The sequence below is a fragment of the Homo sapiens genome, chromosome 22 (genome assembly GCF_000001405.40).
Source record: "Homo sapiens chromosome 22, GRCh38.p14 Primary Assembly".
Taxonomy (NCBI): Eukaryota; Metazoa; Chordata; class Mammalia; order Primates; family Hominidae; genus Homo; species Homo sapiens.
This window is the reverse complement of record NC_000022.11, coordinates 21988453-22011505: the sequence shown is the minus strand read 5'-3', so window position 1 is coordinate 22011505 and position 23053 is coordinate 21988453. Positions and strand designations below refer to the sequence as shown.

Below are 23053 nucleotides of genomic sequence, written 5' to 3'. Positions count from 1 at the left end.
TCATTTTTCCTCTCTCTACCAAAGCCTGAGAGTTCTCTCTGATATTTACTGTGAGAACTGGTAGAGCTTCAGGAAGTAAAACTCAGAAAAGTGAGGCCCACCCAATAGCTGGGTCCCCCTGGAGTTATCTCTCAGATATATCTACACTGAGCCTCCAGTAATTCATCGATTACAATTCAGTTTTCTCTACCCAGCACTGATTCCTGTGGAGGTTCCTGCTCATGGGTTTCTGCTCTGGTAAATTGTAATTCTCTGTATCTGCCCATCTGTATCTTCAATCTGGGGGGAAACAGTTTGCCCTGTGGCCTCACTTCTCTTGCGGATCTAAGAAGAACTGATTTTTCAGTTTGTTCAGCTTACTACTTGTTAGGATGGAGTGATGACTTCCAAGCTTCTTATATTTCAGACCAGAAACCAGAAGCCTCGCTTTTTCTTTTTAATCTACGAAAGGTATCTCCATGATTTCTTCAAGTATTTCTTCTCTGTTTCATTTCCCTGTCCTTCTGGGATCACAATTATCTGGATGTTTGCACTTCTTTTCCTCCATTGCTCTTAGTTTTGCTTTTATATTCTTTATGTCTATTCAAAAGTGACCAGCTGTCCTGGTTTGCCCGGGTCTCTCCTGGTTTTAGCACTGACAGTCCCATGTCTTCAAAACCCCGCAGTCTCAGGCAGACTGGGACAGTTTGTCACCCTCGTTTCCAGCTTGTTTACTCAACATCTTCTTCAAATGCACTCATTTGTTCCTTGCTCTATCCATTTTCCCCATAGCAGTGGTTTTTTTAATTGATTCAGCTATTCTGTATGCATATTTCTGCTTAATTCTCTTATTTTCTCATTTTAGTTTAAAGCACCCTTTACCCCTGTTAATATGCTTATTTAGGCTAATTTTAAGTTCTGTGTTCCTCTTTTCTAACGTATTTGCTTCTGGTGGCATGTTTAATCCTGTATGCTCTTTTGCATTTGAAATGGCTGAGCTTATTTCCCTCTACAGCAGGCTCTTATATACGGCAAAGAAATGGATAAAGACCAGATACCAAACCCTGTCATCTCCAACTGGCTGAGGGGATACAGAGTGGATGAACCCTTGGGTGGAGGGCACCAGAAAAAACAGTCATTGCCCACCCTACTAAATACTCAGGACCAGTCTTCAACTTCTGCCTCTTAAGAGAAGCAGTCTTGGGGGAGACTATCAGACTGTAACTGCTCAGTTCTGTGCTTTGGAGGTAAAAGGATGAGAAAGCAACTCCCTTGAGACCATTCTCCACTTTTTCTCAGCTCACCACAAGCCAGGCCTTAAACTGCATCCCAGGTTTTATACCTGAATACACCTGATTCAGAACGCTGAGTTCTGGGGGCACTTTTTGTCCCAAGGCAGTGAAACTCTAGCAGTCCCCCCCACCTATTCTGTCCTCCAATAGGCAACCTCATGACAAGGTTGAACTTTACCTGAGCCCTGTGCTCTCAGGACACAGTGATGGCTAGGAAGTACCCCCATCCTTTTGTTTTCTAGACCGCTCCCTGCCCCCCTCAAAAAATCCTTGTGTTTCTGGAAAGAGTTTACCTCAAAGAACTACTCTTCCCCATATGACTTACATAAGACTCATGATCTACTTTCTCACAACTTCCATGAGTCAAAGATGACTCCTTTGGCAAAGCCAAACAGTCCCTTTTGCCTGAGCCTGCTCACAAGGTTAGACCCAGATGCTCCAACCTCCTATTCTTTGATTGATTAGCAGATTAGAAGAGTCTATCCCACTGAAACTGACCACAGAGAAAACATTTGACGTTCAGATAACCAAGACGTCCCCTACTTGCAAAACAACACCTTCTGCAACTTGTTTACCCCTGGCTATAAAAGTCTAAGGTAGAACCACTGTGCTGAGACACTTTAGCCATTGGATCTGGGGTGCTCTCTCTACTGCAATAAGCTGAATAATATCTTCTCCTTAATTGTCTAATGTATTGTGTCTTTCACACTAGTCTACTTCCTGCTCCAAGCCAAAACCTCCATGCCACACATCCTAGTTCCAAACAGCCCCCCTCACCCCACAGACATGTTTGTCTCCATTTTCCTTTTCTAATCCTGTCAGAGTTGATTTTGGAGGCTAGAATTTTGATTGGTATCATTGAAAAAAAATCTCATCATAAGACTTGCTATGCCTATCACTTTGAATAAATCCCTTCGGCTTAGAAAAGAACAATCATCATTAAAAATAAATGTAACACCTCTCTCCCACACTATCTCAAGAAGAAAAAGTTCCAAGAGAAAAATCACTTATGTTAGAAGAGAACATTGATTAAGCACATTCTGATTTTTGCCCCCTCCACAGTTTTCTTATAAAGCTGTTATGAAGCTTTTGTTATGATGGGCAGGTAGAGAGACAATACACCAGGCACACAAATATGACAGGTATTAACAAGTCGTGTAAAGGAAAATAAAGAAGAAGGGGAAGAGATGGTATCTGCAGCCAGGTTAGGACTGAATCTAGCCGGGTGCGGCGGCTCACACCTGTAACCCCAGCACTTTGGGAGACTGAGGCAGAAAGATCATGAAGTCAGAAGTTCGAGACCAGCCTGACCAGCATGGTGAAACCCCATCTCTACTAAAAATACAAAAATTAGCCAGGTGTGAGTGATGGCACACTCCTGTAATCACAGCTACTCAGGAGGCTGAAGCAGGAGAATAACTTGAACCCAGGAGGCGGAGGTTGCAGTGAGCCGAGTTTGTGCCACTGCACTCCAGCCTGGGTGACAGAGCGAGACTCTGTCTCAAAAAAAAAAAAAAAAAAAAAAAGACTGAATCTATACATATTAAAATGACAAAATCAATTCAAAAATTGTAAAGATAACTCCAATCACAATGTGTTCCTTGTTTTGATCCTGATCTAAACAGACAATTTATGAGATGATTCAAAGTTTGAGCATGGATATTTAATGATATTACAGAAGTATTAATTTTTTTTTTTTTTTTTGAGAAAGAGTCTTGCTCTGTCAGCCAGGCTGGAGTGCAGTGGCATGATCTCGGCTCACTGCAACCTCTGCCTCCTGGGCTCAAGCAATTCTCCTGCCTCAGCCTCCCGAGTAGCTAGGATTACAGGGGTATGCCACCATGCCCGGCTAATTTTTGTATTTTTAGTAGAGACGGGGTTTCACCATGTTGGCCAGGCTGGTCTTGAACTCCTGACCTCAGGTGATCCACCCACCTCAGCCTCCCAAAGTGCTGGGATTACAGGCGTGAGCCACCGTGCCCGGCCAGAAGTATTAAATTTTTTTACACATGATAAGATGGTATATTTTATACTCCATCTGCTGAAATATTTGCAAATGGAGCTATATGGAGGAAGGAGGGTGTGGGTGTGGATACAAAGGAATCAGCAAAGAATAATTATTCAAGCTGAATTATGAGTACATGGGATCCGCTGTAATATTTTTTTCCTACTTTTGTGTCTCCATTAAAAGAAGCTTTAAAAAAGAATACCTTAAAGAAATAAGTTAGAGAATTTAAATTAATGCCAGGAAAGTTTACCAAGTACAGCTTTCTGATCCTATAATACTCACTTAAGCAAAGCTGTAAAATTCTAGTGATCATAGGCTTTTAAAAATGTGAAAGATTGGCTGGGCGTGGTGGCTCACCCCTGTAATCCCAGCACTTTGGGAGGCCAAGGCGGGCAGATCACCTGAGGTCAGGAGTTCCAGACTAGCCTGGCCAACATGGTGAAATCCCCAACTCTACTAAAAATATAAAAATTAGCCGGGTGTGGTGGCGCACGCCTGTAATCCCAGCTACTCAGGAGGCTGAGGCAGGAGAATCACTTGAACCTGGGAGGTGAATGTTGCAGTAAGCCAAGATTGTACCACTGCACTCCAACCTGGGCAACAAAGACTCTGTCTCAAAAAAAAAAAAAGTGAAAGATTAAAAGATGCAAAATACTAATAATCATAATGAATAGGATATATTGAGATCTTACTATGTGCCAGGCATTAGGGTAGGGCTAGCTGTGAAATATCTTACTAACTCCTCTTAACGACTTCATGATCAAGAGACTCCTGTTCCCATTTTATAAATGAGGAAATTAAGGGTCAAATAGGCCAGGCATGGTGGCTCATGCCTGTAATCCTAGCACTTTGGGAGGCCGAGGCAGGCGGATCACGAGGTCAGGAGTTCGAGACCAGCCTGACCAACATGGTGAAACCCCATCTCTACTAAAAATACAAAAATTAGCTGGGCGTGGTGGTGTGTGCCTGTAATGTCAGCTACTTGGGAGGCTGAGGCGGGAGCACTGCTTGAACCCGGGAGGCGGAGGTTGTGGTGAGCTGAGATCGTGCCATTGCACTCCAGCCTGGGCAATAAGAGCGAAACTCTGTCTCAGAAAAAAAAAAAGGGGGGGTGTCAAATAAATTAGGTAACTTACTCAAATAACTTCGTTGGGAGTAAAGTTTCAAGCCCAAGCAGCTTGACCCCATGAAAAAACCGCACTCATAACCACTGTGTTTCTGTCTTGTCCATGTGAAATCACCGTGGTTTAGATGTTGCTGCCAATACCTGAAGTAAGATGACGGAAAGGTTCTCTCAGGAAGCAAAATTGTATCTCCCATTCCCTCTCCTTTTCTCTAGTGCGGCATGTGGGATATACATCCTCAAAACTGTTGCTGAATGAGGCTAAATTAGCAATAACAGCTACAAGCCAGATTTTTATCCAGATACCTCCGAGATCCTCTCTAAGGGGGCTCCCGAAAAAGCCACAACCAACCGCTTAAAGTAGAGCATTTCTTCATGCCACATCATGTATAAAACTGAGATGTCACTTTACCTGGTATTCTATGGAAAGCTGGCCTCATTACCATGTGAAGTAGCTATAATTTGCTAATTCCATGTTGTCTATATTTTAAGATATATTTATTAATCTAATGCATACATTACAACTACATGATCAGGAAGGATAATTTGAATGACAGCTCCTTAACGTGACTTACAAGGCCATAGAAGATCTGGCCTGCTTTCCTCTGTATCCAGACTTCTCTCCATTCCTTCATTAATAAGTCAGTTCAAACAGGGCTGACTTCAGTTCTCCAAGCCTGCCATGCTCCAGCTCATCTCAGGGCCTTCTCACACATTCCATTTGCCTGGAAAGTTTATCCTCTCTTCTCGGGGCTCATTCCTCCTTAGCTCCATTGTTTCATTTTGATGCCTCTTCCCTGGAAATCCTTTCGTGAACCTAAAGGCCCTAAACTATGGTGACAATCTACCTTCCAATGTTATTTTGCCCTTTGTAACACAATGTGAACCAACTTATTTATCCTCTCCTAAAATAAAAGAGTTTTCAGTCTGTGATGAATCTTTTCTGTTTTGGCCTAGCTGGTTTGCCAAGAGGGTGCCGTATGCCACTAGGACAAAGATAAAGCAAAGTAGAAAAGAGTTTGCATCAATGCACATAATGTTAAAAGCACATGTGTCAACTGAGCACTTACTGGGCACAAGGCTCTGTGCTCTGTAGTGTATATATTTTGCAACAATAACTCTAAAACAAATATAATTTCTTTCCGCATTTTAGATGTAAAAATAGGAGGTTTACAGAACTTGAGTAACTTACCAAAATCACACATAGCCAGGATTTAAGCACAGATCTGTGTGGCTTTATTTTTAGAGAGGGAGTCTTGCTCTGTTGCTCAGGCTGGAGTGCAGTGGTGCAATCTCAGCTCACTGCAACCTCTGCTTCCCAGGTTCAAGAGATTCTCCTGCCTCAGCCCCTCGAGTAGCTGGGATTACAGGTGCACGCCACCACACCAGACTAATTTTTGTATTTTTTGTAGAGACGGGGTTTCACCTTGTTGGCCAGGCTAGTCTCTAACTCCTGACCTCAGGTGATCCACCCGCCTCAGCCTCCCAAAGTGCTGGGATTACAGGCATGAGCCACCAAGCCTATGACTTTAGATTGCAGCTTGTGTTGCCATATAACTCCTAAGCTGTAAGAAAACCCCCAGAGGAATGGCTGAGGCTGGGCGCAGTGATTCACGCCTGTAATCCTAGCACTCTGGGAGGCCGAGGCGGGTGGATGGCTTGAGCTCAGGAGTTCGAAGCCAACCTGGGGAACATGGTGAAACCCCATCTCTACAAGAAATACAAAGATTATCCAGGCATGGTGTCTCGCGCCTGTAATCCCAGCTACTTGGGGGCTGAGGTGGGAGAATTGCTTGAACCCAGGAGGCAGAGGTTGCAGTGAGCCAAGATTGTGCCACTGTACTCCAGCCTGAGCAACAGAGTAAGACCCTGTCCCAAAAAAATAAAAAAGAGGAATGGCTGAGACCAAGGCCACGGTGGAGATACCCACTCCCATAGATCCTTTAGGGCTTTCCTTAATTCTTTCCTTTAATTAAGACTCCGGTTAGTAAAGAGCTTTATACAAATTCTCTGCGTCCAGTCCTAGGAGGAGGAAGGGGCACATCTCACCCTGCCACAACTCCATCATGTCTCTCCCTGGCTCTCCCAGCTTCCTGGGCCTTTCAGGGCCAACGTAGGCTAGCCTGCAGAAATGGTTTATGAATACCCAGTACAGGGCTCCACGCCTGGGCCCTGAAGGGCCTCGCCACACATTCAATCTCTTTTTTTTTTTTTTTTTTTTTTTTGAGACGGAGTCTTGCTCCGTCGCCCAGGCTAGAGTGCAGTGGCACGATCTCGGCTCACTGCAAGCTCCGCCTCCCGGGTTCACGCCATTCTCCTGCCTCAGCCTCCCGAGTAGCTGGGACTACAGGTGCCCGCCACCACGCCCGGCTAATTTTTTACTATTTTTAGTAGAGACGGGGTTTCACCGTTTTAGCCAGGATGGTCTCGATCTCCTGACCTCGTGATCCGCCCGTCTCGGCCTCCCAAAGTGCTGGGATTACAGGCGTGAGCCACCGCGCCCGGCCAAGGTGTTTCTTTTTTCCCTCTTTTGTCCTATTAACTTGGTAAATTTTATTACATATGGTGACTTGATTTGCTCATATTGGACTCTCTTTGCATTACTAATATTTCTCATTTACTCATACTCCATTATTATTTTCATGTGCTGCTGGATGCTGTTAAAAGATAAATTTAGGCACAATAAAATTTGAATGACTTTATTTGAGCATTCATTGATTCATGAATCAGGCAGCACCAGACCACAAGTAGTTCAGTGCTCCACTGTGGGTGGGTAGGAAAGGGGGCAACAGAGGAAATTTGATAAAGTATTCACAGAAACAAGACAAAGAAAACATATTTGATTGGTTAAAGTGGGAAGTCCCTAGTTAGAGGTTAGTTGGCAGTTTCTGATTGGTTAAGCTTAAATTTCATTTTACTTTTTACATTGAATTGGGTTTTGGTTGGCTTAGGTAGAAACTCAAGGTGCTGGAGACATCTTAGCCTCATGACTTCCCAATTAACTGTCTTAACGGTACCATTGCATTGATATTCGTAAGTGAGATTGGTCAGTAGTTTAATTTTTAGAGACATCATTTTCAATTTATGTTTTCGAATTTGGTAATGAAATAGCCCTGTAAATTTTAGTCTGTCTCGTAGAACTCAAACTTGAATCTAGTATGACTTGGGATGAATAAGCTGGCTGAATGATGGATTCTATCCTATCCTAGGTGGATAGGATAGTTTTCCACTGAAGTGGATCACAACCCTTCCAGGTTGTCTCTCGTCTTTCATTGTTTTGAGCTACTTTAGAAGACTGGTGATAGCACTGCAACATAATTCTCGTCTCTAGACATGTACATTTTGTCCTATTCAATTGGCTTCTCTCCCTACTGGAAGCCAATTTTACCTCCATTTGCATATTCATTTCAATATTCTGGATCTTATTTTGGATTCTCCCTAGAACTGATTTTAACACCTTCTCAGTTTCCTCACTAACCAGTTAAATAACATCTTTAACATGTGTTTATTTATTGATTTTGCCCAGGCTCTGGTGTGGAATGGTGCACTCTGGAGTGGAGTGGTACAATCTTGGCTCACTCTGTTGCCCAGGCTGGAATGGAGTGGTACAATCTTGGCCCACTGCAACCTTCACCTCCCAGGCTCAAGTGATCCTCACACCTCAGCCTCCCAAGTAGCTGGAGCTACAGACACATGCCACCAGGCCTGGCTAATTTTTGTACTCTTTATAGAGATGGGGTTTTGCCGTGTTTCCCAGGCTGGTCTCAAACTCCTGACCTCAGATGGTCCACCCACCTCGGCTTCCCAAAGTGCTGGGATTACAGCTGTGAGCCACTACACCCGGCCCCCTCAGGAAGAAATTTAGAACAAAGAATGGTGGTCAAAGTTCAGTCCTCAACTCTCTTATCAAAGGTCCATGAGCCAACAGTTGCATTTGGTGAGGGTCCAGGCTTCTGAAAGACAACTCAGAGATATATGTTAAGATGTTATTTTTAGTTTTTATAGGAAAATTGAACATCTTTAGATCTAATTTCCTTGGCAATTATTTTAGGCTACTATTATCTTTTTTTTAAAATAAGACCCTGCAAAACATGATACCTTTTTATCAAGTTATTTATTTATTTTTATGTATTTGTTTTTTGAGAGGGAGTTTTGCTCTGTCACCCAGGCTGGAGATCAGTGGTGCAATCTTGGTTCACTGCAACCTCCACCTCCTGGGTTCCAGAGATTGTCACGCCTCAGCCTCCCGAGTAGCTGGGACTACAGGCATGAACCACTTAGTAGAGACGGGATTTCACCATGTTGGCCAGGCTGGTCTTGAACTCCTGGCCTCAAGTGATCTGCCTGCCTCAGCCTCCCAAAGTGCTAGGATTACAGGCATGAGCCACCATACCCAGCCCCAAGTTACTTATTTATTTTTTAGGACTAGCTAGATATCTAGAATTTCCCTTGGAGGAACTCAAGAGTTTTAAATTTTTTTATGTTTGGGAGCTTCCAGGCTCCTAAGAGGGGGTCCCTGTCTTGTGTCATTTCTCCCCCACCCAAGCTCCTGGAAACCTCCATTCTTACTGTCTTTATGAATTTGACTATTGTAGATATCTTTTATAACTGTGCTGGGAGGGAAAGCTTTTCCTCTGCCATCTCAGGTCCAGTAGTGTGTGGGAGCTGCAAATGAGCAAATTAACAGATTAACAGGGGGAAAAAGGTAACCAAACAATGGACAGATTAACAGGAGAAAAGACAAGATTTCTTTACATGTGTGTGGGGCAGCATTTAAATGAGAAGCTCCCTGAAGAACTAGAGATAGGGATTTATACACCAACTTTATAGGGGAAAGGGTGAAGGGAGAAAGGGTTTCCATGGGAAAGATAAATGGTCTTTTAGGAGAATAAATGGAAGGTATGACACTTGGTGATAATGTTTGCTTATACAGTTTCTCATCCCATTGCAAGTGGCCCTGTCTGGGAGTGAAGCTCTCCTAAAGAGAGGATTTATGACAACTTCATTCTTAGAAGGCTCTGCCTGTAGCCAGATAAGGGAAGCTCTGAAATGGCTTCTTTCTGCATCTGCTGTATCTTAAAATGTCTTCATTTTAAAATAATCTTCAATCTGGAAATACAAGTGGGGTCATACAGTATTTGTCCTTTGTGACTGGCTTATTTCACTCAGCCTAATGTTCTCAAGGTCCGTATGTGTTGTAGCGTGTGTCAGAATTTTCCTCCTTTTTAAGGCTGATTAATATCCCATTGTATTTATATACATGTTTTGTTTATCCATTCATCTGCTGATGGACATTTGTGTTGCTTCCACCTTTTGGCTGTTATGAATAATGCTGCTGTGAACATGGGTGTACAAATATATCTTCAAGGCCTTGCTTTTAGTCTTTTTGGGTATATTCCTAGAATTGAAATGGCTGGATCTAATTTTAGTTTTTTGGGGAACCACCATACTGTTTTCCCAGCAGTTCGACCATTTTGCATTCCCAGCATCGTACAAGGGTTGCAATGTCGCCGTGTCTTCACCAACACATTTGTTTCTATTTTGTTTTTTTGATGGTAGCCATCCTAATGGATATGAAGTAATAGCTCATTGTATTTTTGATTTGTGTCTCCCTGATTAGTAATAGTGAATGCATTTTTATATGTTTATTGGCCAAAAAATTATCTTCTCACTGTAACACTGTACTCCACCTTTTAGCACTATTCATTCACCAACCAAGGAGTCCCACTCATTGTTCATTACGGATGTGTCAGAGATTGAAATCTCAGAAAAATCAGTATGGGTCTTACCTTCATAGGTATCAGTTTTATTGGCAGGAGTTTTTTTTCTTTCCTAGGTGGTGCATCTTACAAATCTACCTGTCTCATAGCCATTTGACATTTGGCAAGAGAAGACAGAGCCAGGGAACCATCCTGGAGGGTTTTTTGCTGCTGGGTTTATGGCATAGCTCTAAGGGTAGGGAACAGAGGGTAGACAGGGTCTCCTGCTGCCAAGACCTTGACTTCGTTAGACAGCTTTCTTCAGTTAGGTAAGCTACAATGGAATCCTCTCCCAGAAAGTTCCTCTTTTTGCCTAAGCTACCTATGGTCAGGCTCTGTGGATAATGAAAATCAGATCCTTCAATAATTCTACAAGCTCTTGGGAGAGCTTGCTCTATGTGTTTTCACGGATTGATTTCTGTTCTCAGGTCAACATAATATTGTTTTATGTAAACATATGGTAATATTAGTGTTAATGTTAAATAGTGAGATCAGAACACATGATTAAATATAGAGTTTATTTGCGCACAAAGCTTGAGTATAGCCACCCAGGAAACACTAACTCCAGATGAACGGGGTCAGCGTTCCAAAGCAGTGAAGTTAAGGTTTCACTTATGTAGGCAGAGACAGAGAAATTTTAGCAGGATTGCAGAGTTTTCCATACAAAACCAGTGCATTCATTACAGTGATTTGGTTGGTTATAGAATGCTATATTCCAAGAAAGATTACTTTGTTACTCCCTGAGAAGAGGTAGTGATCTGAAGGGGTCCTATATCCGGTGCCATTAGGTCTTCCTAATTTTCTATAGTACAAGAATAAGGAAGAAAGTTGATTTAAATCAGAGAAGTAGAAGTTGCAGCTGCATATTACATGACTCAGGCCACATAGCCACATTTCTCTCAAGGCTCAGAATAATTTCAATTTCCAGTAACTTTAAGTTTGAATTTTTTTTTTTCTTTGAGACAGGGTCTCACTGTCTCGCCCAGACCGGAATGCAGTGGCCGGATCTTGGCTCACTGCAACCTCTGCCTCCCGAGTTCAAGTGATTCTCCTGTCTCAGCCTCTCGAGTAGCTGGGATTACAGGCATGCACCACCATGCATGGCTAATTTTTTCTTTTTTGTATATTTAGTAGAGACAGGGTTTCACCATGTTGGCCAGACTGGTCTCAAACTGATCTCAGGTGATCCAGCCACCTCAGCCTCCCAAAGTGCTGGATTACAGGCATGAGCCACCACGCCCAGCCAGTTTGAATTAATTTCACATTAGTATCTCTTCAATAGTCTTCTCTTAGTTTTGTTTTTGTTATTTCTTCTAGATTAAAGTCATAATTAGACATTATTTAAAATGTCCTAACTATAACAATATTTATATCTTTTCAATATTTGCTCTCCTCATCCATTTACATCTTTCCATTTATTAATTTTACTCCATTACATTAATTTTTTAATTCTTAATACTGTTTTCACATTTATTGTCATCCCTAGATGACAGAAAAAAGTGAGTGAATAGTTTATTTCATACATCTACATTACTTCTGCCATTATACATTTACAGCTCAGTTCTTGCTGGAAATACTGGGCACTCTTGTGCAGTCACATCAGCAGAAATACTCCTATTAATTATATTAACTGTTTCCTATTTTATCCTTTTTAGCTTCCAATTGTTAAAAGATAATTTTCAGAAAAGTAGAATTGTGACTTTATACAGATATAGAAATGAACATGTATTAAAGAATTTATTTTACTCATATAATATGAAGTACCAGGCAGATGTTAAAGAAGAGTTAAGACAGCACATATTTATATGACATGAAGGGATGTTGAGATGAATTTCAGATGGAGACAAAATTTTCCACAGGTAGAAGTTAGGAGAAAATCATTACCAGACCAGACAGAATTTATATGTCTATCAGTTACCTACAACTTATAAAGTTAAAAAATAGCTCAAAGATAATGAACAGGACTCAAATCTGATAACCCAGAAGGGTACATTACAGAGGATCCATTGCTTTCCACTGTAGAGGAGAAAAAATCATAGCTTTTCCTCACCCATCTCAAGGGTCTTTGCTGATACCCCTATTTTAAAAAGGCAGATTAACAAGAGGACACCATAACAAATGTATCAAAGTTTTGCGTGATACAGGAACCTTCAGAAATGAAGACTCAAAGACCCAGGGAGAACTGTAGTTCTTAATTTAAAATTTTTTTTAGAGACTGGGATCTTACTGTATTGCCCAGACCGGCCTTGAATTCCTGGGCTCAAGCAGTCCTCCTGCCTCAGCCTCCCAAGTACCTGGGATTACAGGTGCATGTCACTGCACCTGACTATCTGTATATATGTATGCTTAGGTTTGATGAAGGATGGACAGTCATGTACAAGTATGATTGGACAAAAAACCTGTGGTCTAATGGTAATAAGCTGGGGAGAACTTAGCAAGGCCTGTTCATTCAGATTCTTCTTGGCCCCTCTGTGTAGCATTTCTTTCCTCCTGGTAATAGGACAGGACACCTGTCACATGGGGTGGAGGTCTCACTGCCTACTTTCAGGAAAGGAAGGTCAAAGAATTCCTTTATGACTAGCTCTCACACAGAAAGGCAGGGAAAAGTCAGAGAGACACCTTCAAAGTTCCGTATTTCGGGGTGACATTCTGAGCCGCAACACCATTTTTTCCTACACTATGTACATAATCGTTTGCCTCTTTTTATTGCCCTAGACAACCCTATTGTTATGTGTCTTACTGCACCGGCTACAACTTTCCCAAACAATGTTGATAGTGTGCATGCTTGTTTCTAATTCAGACATCAACAAAAATACCCATGATACAGCTCCTCTCTTTCCCTCTCTCTTTCTTTCTCTGTCTCTCTCTGTCTCTCTGTCTTTCTCTCTCTCTCTCTCTCTCACACACACACACACACACATATATTATATATATATGTTTATATATAGAGAGAGAAAAAAATTTTGATTAGTCATGGAGAAATAATGATAAGACAAAAGAAGTATGAGAGTATGAGCCAAGTGTAATAAAATGGCGGAACAGCGGGCCTGTGTGTTCAGATCCCTCTTGGCAAGCGTTCATCTTTGGAAATAAGGATATGCCTTTCCTTCCTGTATAGGGGGAGTACCTCTCACAGGAGGGTCTTATACCTACTACAGGGGAAGGTCAGAAAATCCTGCCTGCCCATGCCATTTCTCAAATTCCTTCAGCTTAAAATATTCAGTATGCCAAGTTGCTGTATTTTGGGAAGGCACATCCTAAACTCCATCAAAGTCCTGCTAGAAGCAGATACCAAGATGGAAAAACATCCAAGGATTTTTACTAGGGGAGCCCCCTATGAGGGGCATTGAGGGGTGAGCGGGAAGGCATGGAGACCCCACTGACCTACATCGCTGTGTTTGGTGAAGCAGAACTGGAGGGAAGGTTGGGTGGAAACGTGTGCACTCAGGAAGATTTAGCAAAGCTATCAGGGAGTCCTGAAGCCAAAGGTGGTTGTCAGAGGAGTGATGTCTCCCAGGAACTAGTCTGTCACATTGTCTCCCAGGAACTGATCTGTCCCCAGTCATTGTTGGTGAGCAGCATGTGGTGGTGTGACTTGGGCCTTAAGGCTGCCAGGGATTCCTAAGGGCAGTGGGTGGGGCCCTTGGTTCAGGTGCATTTCCTGAGTTGGAGGTGCAGGGCACACTCTCATGGTGGCCACACCATCTTCATCTTGTTTCTAACTTTAAAAGCAATGTTGGCTGGGCGCGGTGGCTCACGCCTGTAATCCCAACACTTTGGGAGGCCAAGGCGGGTGGATCACGAGGTCAGGAGATCAAGACCATCCTGGCTAACATGGTGAAACCCCGTCTCTACTAAAAATACAAAAAATTAGCCGGGCGTGGTGGCGGGCACCTGTAGTCCCAGCTACTCGGGAGACTGAGGCAGGAGAATGGCGTGAACCCAGGAGGTGGAGCTTGCAGTAAGCCAAGATTGTGCCACTGCACTCCAGCCTAGGCGACAGGCAAGACTCCGTCTCAAAAAAAAAAAGCAATGTTTATAAAACACCACTACTAAATATCAGGTTCAGAACCTTGCCTTCTATTTCTTCTTTGATTTTCTCAAATGCATTGACATTAATAATTAATAAACCTAACATTAACCATTCTTGCTCAATCGTTCTTGATCACTATTTGTAAGAGATATTTATAGATTTAGTGTGCCAGGCGTTTGATTTGATTTGCTAGTATTTAAGCCTTTGCTAGATAGCTTCCTATGTATGATTGGCCAATAATTGTCCTTTCTTATACTGTCCTCTGTCCTTGCCCAGTTTGTTGCCAAGGCCGTAGTGGCCTCATACAAATAGATTTCATAGCTTGTGAGACTGTGAATGAATGTTTCTTGTCTCTGACTAGCATAGATCCTAGAACTCTGCCGTCCAGAAGTGTAGCATCTGGCTACATGAAGCTATTTAGATTGCAATTAATTAGAATTTAATTTAATTTAAAATTCAGTCCTTTAGTCATGCTAGCCACATTTCAAGTACTCAGTAGCCACATGTGGCTTGGGGCTCCCACATTAGACAGTGCAGGTCTAGAACATCCCCCTCCTTGCACAAAGCCCTGCTCTGTGGTGGACCGTGGAAAGTGATGGGATGGGGCTACACTCCCGCATTTCACTGGGCAGAAAAAAAAGAGGAATTTGGGCAGTTGAAAGAATCCATAACTAACCTGAACCTGATGCTCTGTGAGAGCATAGAAAAAAAACCTCCATTCCACATTACCCTCAACTCCATCAGTGGGATTGTGGTAAGCGTGTATTGTGCAAACTTGCTCTTGAAATGCATTTAAAATATATCCTGCTTGTCTGGTGTATGTCAGGAACTATGTTTATCACTCAGACTACAGCAGTAATGAAAGCAGACACAGCCCCTTTTTTCATGGAGCTTATAATTTAGCAGAGGGGAGACAGATAATATACGACTGTGTGCATTTATGTGCACACGCATGTGTGTGTCTGCGTATGTGTATGTGTATAAGAGAGACAGAAACAGAAAACTGGTGATATAAGAAGTGCTGTAAATCAGATTAGGAAAGATAAAGCTGTAATTAAGGGATGGGAGTGCTATTCTACTTGGGTGGTCAGGGAAGGCCTCTCATGTGAAATTTTAACAGAAACCTGAATGAAGTAAGGGGGCCAGCCATGAGGATATTTGGGAGAAGACACTTCTAGGCAGAGGGAACAGGAAGTGCAAAGGCCCTGAAGCAGGGCGTTGCTGGTGTTTGAGGAGAGAAATGGAGTCCAGTGTAGGTTGCTGGTGCAGAGTGAATAGTGAGGGGAGTGACAGGAGGTGGGCCCTGAGATGCCCGGATGCTAGACTCTGAGGGCAGCTGCAGGGTGGGTTGTATTCACAGTGAAAATGAAGCCACTAGAGTTTTGAGCAAAGGAATGTCATGATCTGACTTTGACCACAGGGCGCACAAGGACAGAAGCAGAGAGACAAGTTAGAAGGCCACTGCAGTAATGGGGGCAAGAGATAATGGCTTGGTAAAACTGGAAGTGATGAGAACTGCTCAGAATCTACATACGCTTTGGGAGAATTGATGTGGAGTTTTGGGACAGTGTCCTTAGTTAGGTGTTCATGATGTTAATGGTGAAGGCAGAAGAGGAAAGTGTGGGTCAATTCCAAGCCTCTACAGCCTAGCAAGGAATAGATCTAAACCCCTAAGGTTCTGGATCCCATGTCCCCAGGGTCTTAGGGCTCCAGGGTCTCAGGCTTACAAGACCTGAATTGTGGAGTTTTGGTCTTGAATGGAGGGAGGAGCCAGCATTTGGTTCTGTGACAGATGCGAAAGGCCTGCATCTCCCACATTGGCCTGGGAGTGATGCTGAGCCATTAGTCTTCTGAGGATTTCTACCTTCTTCTGCTCCAGGTCCATGGAGGTGAACCACCCAGCACCCCTCAGCCTCTTGGAACTTGCAGCCCACAGCCTGCTGAGCAATGAGGCTTCAGTTCCACTGGTGTTGGAACAGCTCACAGTGAACCTTTTCCCGCCACTACTCACTGCTGCATTTGCCAAGGGGCACAGAAAGGCTCTGAAGGCCTTGGTGCAGGCCTGGCCCTTCCGGTTTCTCCATCTGGGCTCTCTGATAGTGCAGTGGCCCAACCAAGACAGCCTGCAAGCTGTGGTGGATGGGCTGGAGGCCTTTTCTGCCCACAGGGCTTGTCCCAGGTAAGGGGGATGCTGGGAGCAAGACCTCAGTTCAGAGCCAGAAGGAGGGTGAGCTGAGGTCCAGGGGAGGGGAGCGTTAAATTGGCTAGAGGGACAAGTGGGGAAACTATATGTTTCTGAGTTAAGTGGTTGATGGTACAGCTAGAAGGCTTTAAGGAGAGGGCTTTTTACTTTCTAGGGGTGGTGGTACAAGCTGTATGAGGAATAGGGGCTGACAAGGAGCCTGAGTGAGGGAGGAAAAGCCTATTGCAGAGGAGAGGCGAGGCGGGCTGGTGCTGGGGCCTGGGGAGCAGCCCAGGGCTGCTGCCACTCATCTTACCTGGGCTCCCCAGCATCTCATCACACCCCTCTCCCCGCAGGAAGTCAGAACTGAGGATGCTGGATTTCACCCTGGACTCTGAGCAAGTCTTTTACTGTGGTAAAGGGGCTTCTGAAGCCTTGGCCAAGTTCCCATTTTGGTTACCATCAGCAGTCAAGGCAGAGACGCCCCAGGCCACGGCCAGGCCCAAGCCAGCAAAGAACATGAAAAAAGGATGAAAGCAGCCATGGGAAGCAGTGGAAATACACATTGATCTTTTCCTATGAGGCTTCTTCAAGTTAGATAAGTTCCTCTCCGACCTCCTGACGAAAGTGGAACAGAGCCACGGGGCCCTGCATCTCTGCTGTAGGAAGTTGCACATTGAGAAGATGGCCGTCGACAGTCTGCTGAGGATCCTGAAGACACTCAGGCTGGATTTCATCCAGGAGCTGGAGGTGTTTTACTGGTGTAGAGACTTCTTGGTATTGGCAGAGCCAAACCTATCTGCCATACAGCTGGGAAGGATCTTCAACCTGCGCAGCCTCAAGCTCTTCTACTACAAGTGGGCCTTCTCCTCATGGGTCAGGCGGCCCTCCAGCTACTTCTTCTCCCAGCTCACCATGCTGGGCCACCTCCGGAAGCTGCACCTGTCTCACTCCTACCTCGTAGGCAAACTACATTACATACTCAGGTGAATGGGTAGGCAGGGGCGTCGGAAGAGTCCTCTGAATACTCCCAAGTGAGGTCAGGTCAGGGGAACAAGACAGGAAATGGGGCTTATTCTTAGATGCTCATGGAATTGTGGGCACAGCCTGGGAACTGAGGGTTCAGATGCAGCTGATGGCTGGGATCTGCTTTGGAAACATATTTGATGGGGAAAGATGCATGTTGCTATAAAAAATAAAATCCACTTTGGGAGGCTGAAGTGGGAAGCTCACTTGAGGCCAAGTTGGAAACCAGCCTGGGCAACAAAGTGAGACCCCATTTCTACAAATAAATATACAAAAATTAAGGCCAAGCACGGTGGCTCATGCCTGTAATCCCAGCACTTTGGGAGGCAGAGGCAGGCGGATCACTTGAGGTTAAGAGTTTGAGACCAGCCTGGCCAACATGGCGAAACCCCATCTCTATTAAAAATACAAAAATTAGCCGGACATGGTGGCATGTGTCTGTAATCCTAGCTGCTCGGGAGGCTAAGGCAGGAGAATCTCTTGAACCCAGAAGGTGGAGGTTATAGTGAGCCAAGATTGCACCACTGCACTCCAGCTTGGGCAACAGAGCAAGACTCCATCTCAAAAACAAAACAAAAACAAAAAGAAAAATTAGCTGGGCATAGTGCATCTTTAGTCCCAGCTACTCAGGAGGCCGAGGCAGGAGGATTGCTTGAGCCCAGGAGTTTGAGGCTGTAGTGAGCCATGATTGTGCCACTGCACTCCAGCATGGGCAACAGAGTGAGACCCCGTCTCAAAAAAAAATTACAACAAATTTAGTTTAAAGATCTAATTGGCTTTTTTTTACTCTTTAGAGACAGGGCATCATTTTGTCACCCAGGCTAGAGTGCAGTGGCACGATTACATCTCACTGCAGTCTCAAACTCCTGTGCTCAAGCTACCCTCCCGCCTCAGCCTCCTAAGCGGCTAAGACTACAGATGCGCACCACTACACCTTGCGAATTTTTTAAAAACTTTTTTGGAGAGACAAGGTCTTGCTTTGCTGCCCAGGCTGGTCTTGAGCTCCTGGCTTCAAGCCATCCTCCCACCTCAGCCTCCCAAAGCACTAAGATTAAAGGCATGAGCCACCATGCCTGGCCTTCTAATTGGCTTAGGTTTGTGATTCACAAATTGGGGCAGCCTCCCATTCTATAAAATAGAATAAGAGCTCTGATGAGCTGAGCAGAAGAGACTGGCTTTATAAGCATAAAAGTGATGAAAAAAGCCAAAACAAAAAGCAGATTGGTCAGTTGACGGTTACTTTCCTTATGGGGTTAAAACAGAGGGCACTTCCTTATCATCCTGGGCCCCTTCTGATTGGTTGGTGTGAATCTCCTGTTTTTTGGAAAACTGACCAGTTTCGAAGTTCAGTTTGATTACCTGGCACTTAGCACGAGTGACTGCATTCTGGTTTGCTCTGGTCTTTTGAGGTCTAGTGCAGGAGCTTAGTCCAAAACAGTGGTCTTCCATGAATTTCATTTAATTTTTTAATTTTTTGTTTTTGAGACAGAGTATCTGTCACCCAGGCTGGAGTGCAGTGGCATGATCTCGGCTTACTGGAATCTCTGCCTCCCAGGTTCAAGTGATTCTCCTGCCTCAGCCTCCCAAGTAGCTAGGATTACAGGCATGGGCCACCATGCCTGGCTAATTTTTCCATTTTTAGTAGAGATGGGGTTTCACCACGTTGGCCAGACTGGTCTTGAACTCCAGACCTCAGGTGATCCACCCACTGCGGCTTCCCAAAGTGCTGGGATTACAGGTGTGAGCCATTGCGCCTTTCCTAATAATATGTTTATTTACTCAACAAACATTTTCAGGCACTGCTGAATGTTATGCTGGTCCCCAAGAAAAGATCCTGACACAGCACAGGTTATGCCTCTTCTTCTGAGCTCATACTGCCCCAGACAGGTGGGTACAGAGCCCTGAAGGACAATCAGTATCCACTCTGTGCACGTCTCCTAGAAATTTCAAGATAGGGCATTCAGGACCCCCAGCCCTGGCTTAAATGGAAGCCTGAGCAGCAGCTTCCCCAAACCCAAACCTGAGGAATAATGGCCTCAGCCTATGGTTACTTCTCATCAGATAAGCGCTTTCAAATGGCTCCTCTCAGCAGTCTTATTAGGTATGGATAATGTGCATCTCCCTTTCACCGAAGAGAAACTTAGAGTTAGAAGGGTTCGTGGAGGACCTGGTAGGTCTGTTGAGAGAGAGCCAGGCCTTGGGACACCAAAGGACATGCTCCTGACCCTGCTGGTAAATGGCTTCCCTGATGAGGGGGTGGCCATAGGACTAGCCTCCTCCATGGACAAATAGGTGTTCCGGGTGGGGTGCCTGGGCCCTCCCCTCACAGAGCCACCCTTCTCTCCTCAGCTGTCTGTGGGTCCCACTACATTCCCTGGAGATCTGCAACTGCAAGCTTCTGGACACTGACATCACCTACTTGTCCCGGAGCCATCATACCACCTGCCTGAAGAAGCTGGATCTGAGCGTCAACGACTTGTCCTACATGATCCCTGGGCCCTTGGGTACCCTGCTGAGGGCAGTCTCAGGGACACTGCAGCACCTAGACCTGAAACACTGCTGGCTGAAGGATGCCCACCTCAGTGCCCTCCTGCCCGCCCTGTGCCGCTGCTCCCACCTCAGTTCCCTGAGCCTCTCCGACAACCCCATCTCCAGTGCCTGCCTCCTGAGCCTGCTGGAGCACACCATGGGGCTGATGGAGCTGAAGCAGGTACTCTATCCCATCCCAGTTGACTGCTGCATCTACCTGCATGGCGTCTGCCGGGGTCCTGTGAACGAGGACAAGCTGTGCCAGTTGCAGGCCGAGATACAGAAGCAGCTGCAAGCCATGCAGCAGGCTGACATGCAGTGGAGCCCCTCCACTGTCTTTGCTTATGCAGCTGGTGCAGTTTGAATGAAGAACAGGAGCCAGGCTCAGGGAACAGAAGTCAGAGAGGGCAGCTGGAATCACAGCTGAGGCCACATGTTGTTTGCAAGGAACATAAAATAAACTTCCATGGGAACTATCTGGCGCTTTCTTCATTCCTCTCGCTCCCCTTCCCCAGTCGAAAGCCTGGCCTGTTTCACCTGTTCATTCAATCGGCACACGTTATCCAGGTGGCTCTACCGCCAGATCACCAGAGACCCCAGAGGTCCAGCCCTCCCTGGCGAACACTCCCTCTTCTGGCCACTCACTCAGTTTCTCTTTGTCTTATGCTTCTGGGTAGAATGAAGTGGGTCCTTAGCTGACTTCCCCACCTTTGGACATGAGCTGTGCACTGGAGGTCTGAACAGCTCTGGGGGCTGTTGGGAGACTGGAAGGAGGCACATGCCTGGCACCAAACCCAGAGCACGCGGCCATCAGTCAGCTGATCACCATCGAGCGTGTGCTTGGGCCAGGCGCTGCTGTCCTCAGACCGGGCATACATGGAGAGCATGGGTCACAACCGTTTAGGAAGTCCCTACAACAGGGCAAAGTCAGAAGAATCAGGAGTGGCTGCCAAAGCAGGTCAGGGAAGGCACCTCAGAGAGGAGACCTTTGAGTCCAGTCCTGAATCTGTGGCAGAGATCTGGAGTCAGGCACCCTGGGAGGGGCCCGGCAACAGCAGCAGCTGAGAGCTGGGCCTGAGTCTGGCAGGAGAGGACAGGTCAGAGGTTCACAGGCCCAGGCCCCCAGCACCATGTGGGTGGAATATAGTCAAGGCTGATGTAGATGGAGACAGAAGGCAGACGCAGGGGAACTTATGAGTGACCAAGATATGTACAGGGGCTTCATAGAAAGGCCTGGACCAAACTGACACACAGGGCCATAGAAAGCCAGAGTATTACTGCTGGGTGGGAGAAGTTTACAGAGCAGCCTTCAGTCCATTCTGCTAGTCCACTTGTCAGTTTCTGTTTGTTTGCCTGTCCTTGCTGAAGCTCTGTTGTAGGCATCCTGGTTCCACCCATGTAAACCCTGGAACCAGAGATAGGTAAGAAAGCCTCACTTAGCGGAAGGGTCCTCAGTGCCTTGCTTGCTGAGTGCTGCTTCCATCCAGGCGAGGGAGCTTGCCTGCTCTCATGAGCCATCTTGCAGCAGCCTCAGCGCCTCCTGAACTACCCTGACTCCAGGTTGTGATAGTGCCCAGCAGATTCCTCATAGGATTCCTACAGAATAGCACAGTCCTTGTGCACCCACCTTCCTCTGTGTATCGGTCACGCTCAGAGGGCCAGTCCAGAGGCCATACAGTCATCTCCAGCAGCCTGGCCTGCGAGTGGAGCATGGTGATTTTTCACATTGTCCATTTAGGTAACAAGTACTTGCTAAGTGCCTCCCAGGTGACAGGTACTTTTGCAAGGGCAGAGGATGCAGCAGAAATAACTCCAAGTTCGTGCCCTAGTGGAGCATGGGCTCCATGCAGATAAGCAAGCTGGCAGGTAAATGACACGTCTTCAGATTGAGAAAGGGCAAAACAAAGGGAGTGGGGCCCGCTGCTGAGGGGTGGAAAGGGAACTGTTTGCGATAAAGTACACACAAGGTCTGTGTTAGAGCAGAGACTAGAATGGAGGCAAAACCTCCAGGCAGAGGAACAGAAAAGCGCAAGTAGAGGAAGATCGAGATACCGAGAAATGCACTGGGGGCTCGATGTACTGTGCCGTTCCTTGCTGTGCTGAAAAAATCAGATGCCTCCCCAAACCCTGACTGGCTAATTGCCTCTGATCCACACAATGCGCCTCTCTCCGATGCAGCCACGCAGGCATGTAACTGCAGCTGCTCCACATGACACTATCAGAGCGTAAGATCAGATTGCATGAATGAAATCCCATTGCTTCCTGTAGGTACCTTCTGGTGACATGTCTTTCCAGCAGTGTCAGGGCACAGGTGCTGCCATGACCTCAGCCTCGCTTTCCTCCTTACCCTGACCACTCACTTTCTTCTTGCCTGAGTCAGTATTGCTCTTTAGTCAGATATGGGAGGATGCTTGCTCCTGGAAGTATCTGGACCAAATTTCCCCAAGATCATAAGACCTTCCTCCTGCTGCACCCACTTGAGAGCTTGCTTGAAGGTTTCCTGCAGTCCAGGCCGAGGGTCAAAACTCAACCTCTGGGTTGGGGTTAGGAGAGCTGACTGTGATTTGCATCCACTATTTTGTGCCTCAGTTTCTTCATCTATGAATTTAAGAATTTTGAATCACAAAGTTAATCATAGTCCTTACCTCACACCATTACGTGTGTGTTGAATAAGTTACTTATTTAGAAGGGTTACATGCTGAGAACAGTGCCTGGCATCTAGTAAACCCTCTTGGAAAAGAAGGGACACTTCTGAGTTCCCATAGCAAAGTAGAGTGGTCAGAGGAACCTGGCTGGGAGGCTTGGTGGGAGCATTCAGGGAAATGATCCATGGAAAATCTTCGGGAGAGTGGTGGTCATGTGGGTCTTTTTCAATAAGTCCTTCCCCATCTTGGTGGTGAGTGGACAGTCATCTCCAGGGGATCCCTAGGAAGAAGCAGTAGGTGCACGATGCACCAGCAAGCCCCACGCAGGCCTCAGTCAAGAGAGGAAATGCAGGAAAGAGGAGAGGGAGAGTGGAAAAAGAAGGGAGGGAGGGAGAAAGCCAAACATTTCAGTAGGATTAGAGGAAAAGAATGGGTTGCCTGCTGTTGCCCTGTAGAAGCAGGACTGTGGTGGGTAGG

At 45.5% G+C, this 23053-nt stretch overlaps 1 pseudogene across 1 annotated transcript in view; it reads left to right on the top strand.

The window, feature by feature from the left end:
* Nucleotides 1-20407, top strand: part of PRAMENP (PRAME N-terminal like, pseudogene) — a 52836-nt pseudogene extending 32429 nt beyond the window's left edge. The window contains exons 5-7 of the transcript NR_135291.1: nucleotides 16074-16373; nucleotides 16733-17362; nucleotides 19752-20407. The product of NR_135291.1 is annotated as a PRAME N-terminal like, pseudogene (transcript). The remainder of the gene's footprint in view (nucleotides 1-16073; nucleotides 16374-16732; nucleotides 17363-19751) is intronic.
* The last annotated feature ends 2646 nt before the right edge of the window (nucleotides 20408-23053 follow it).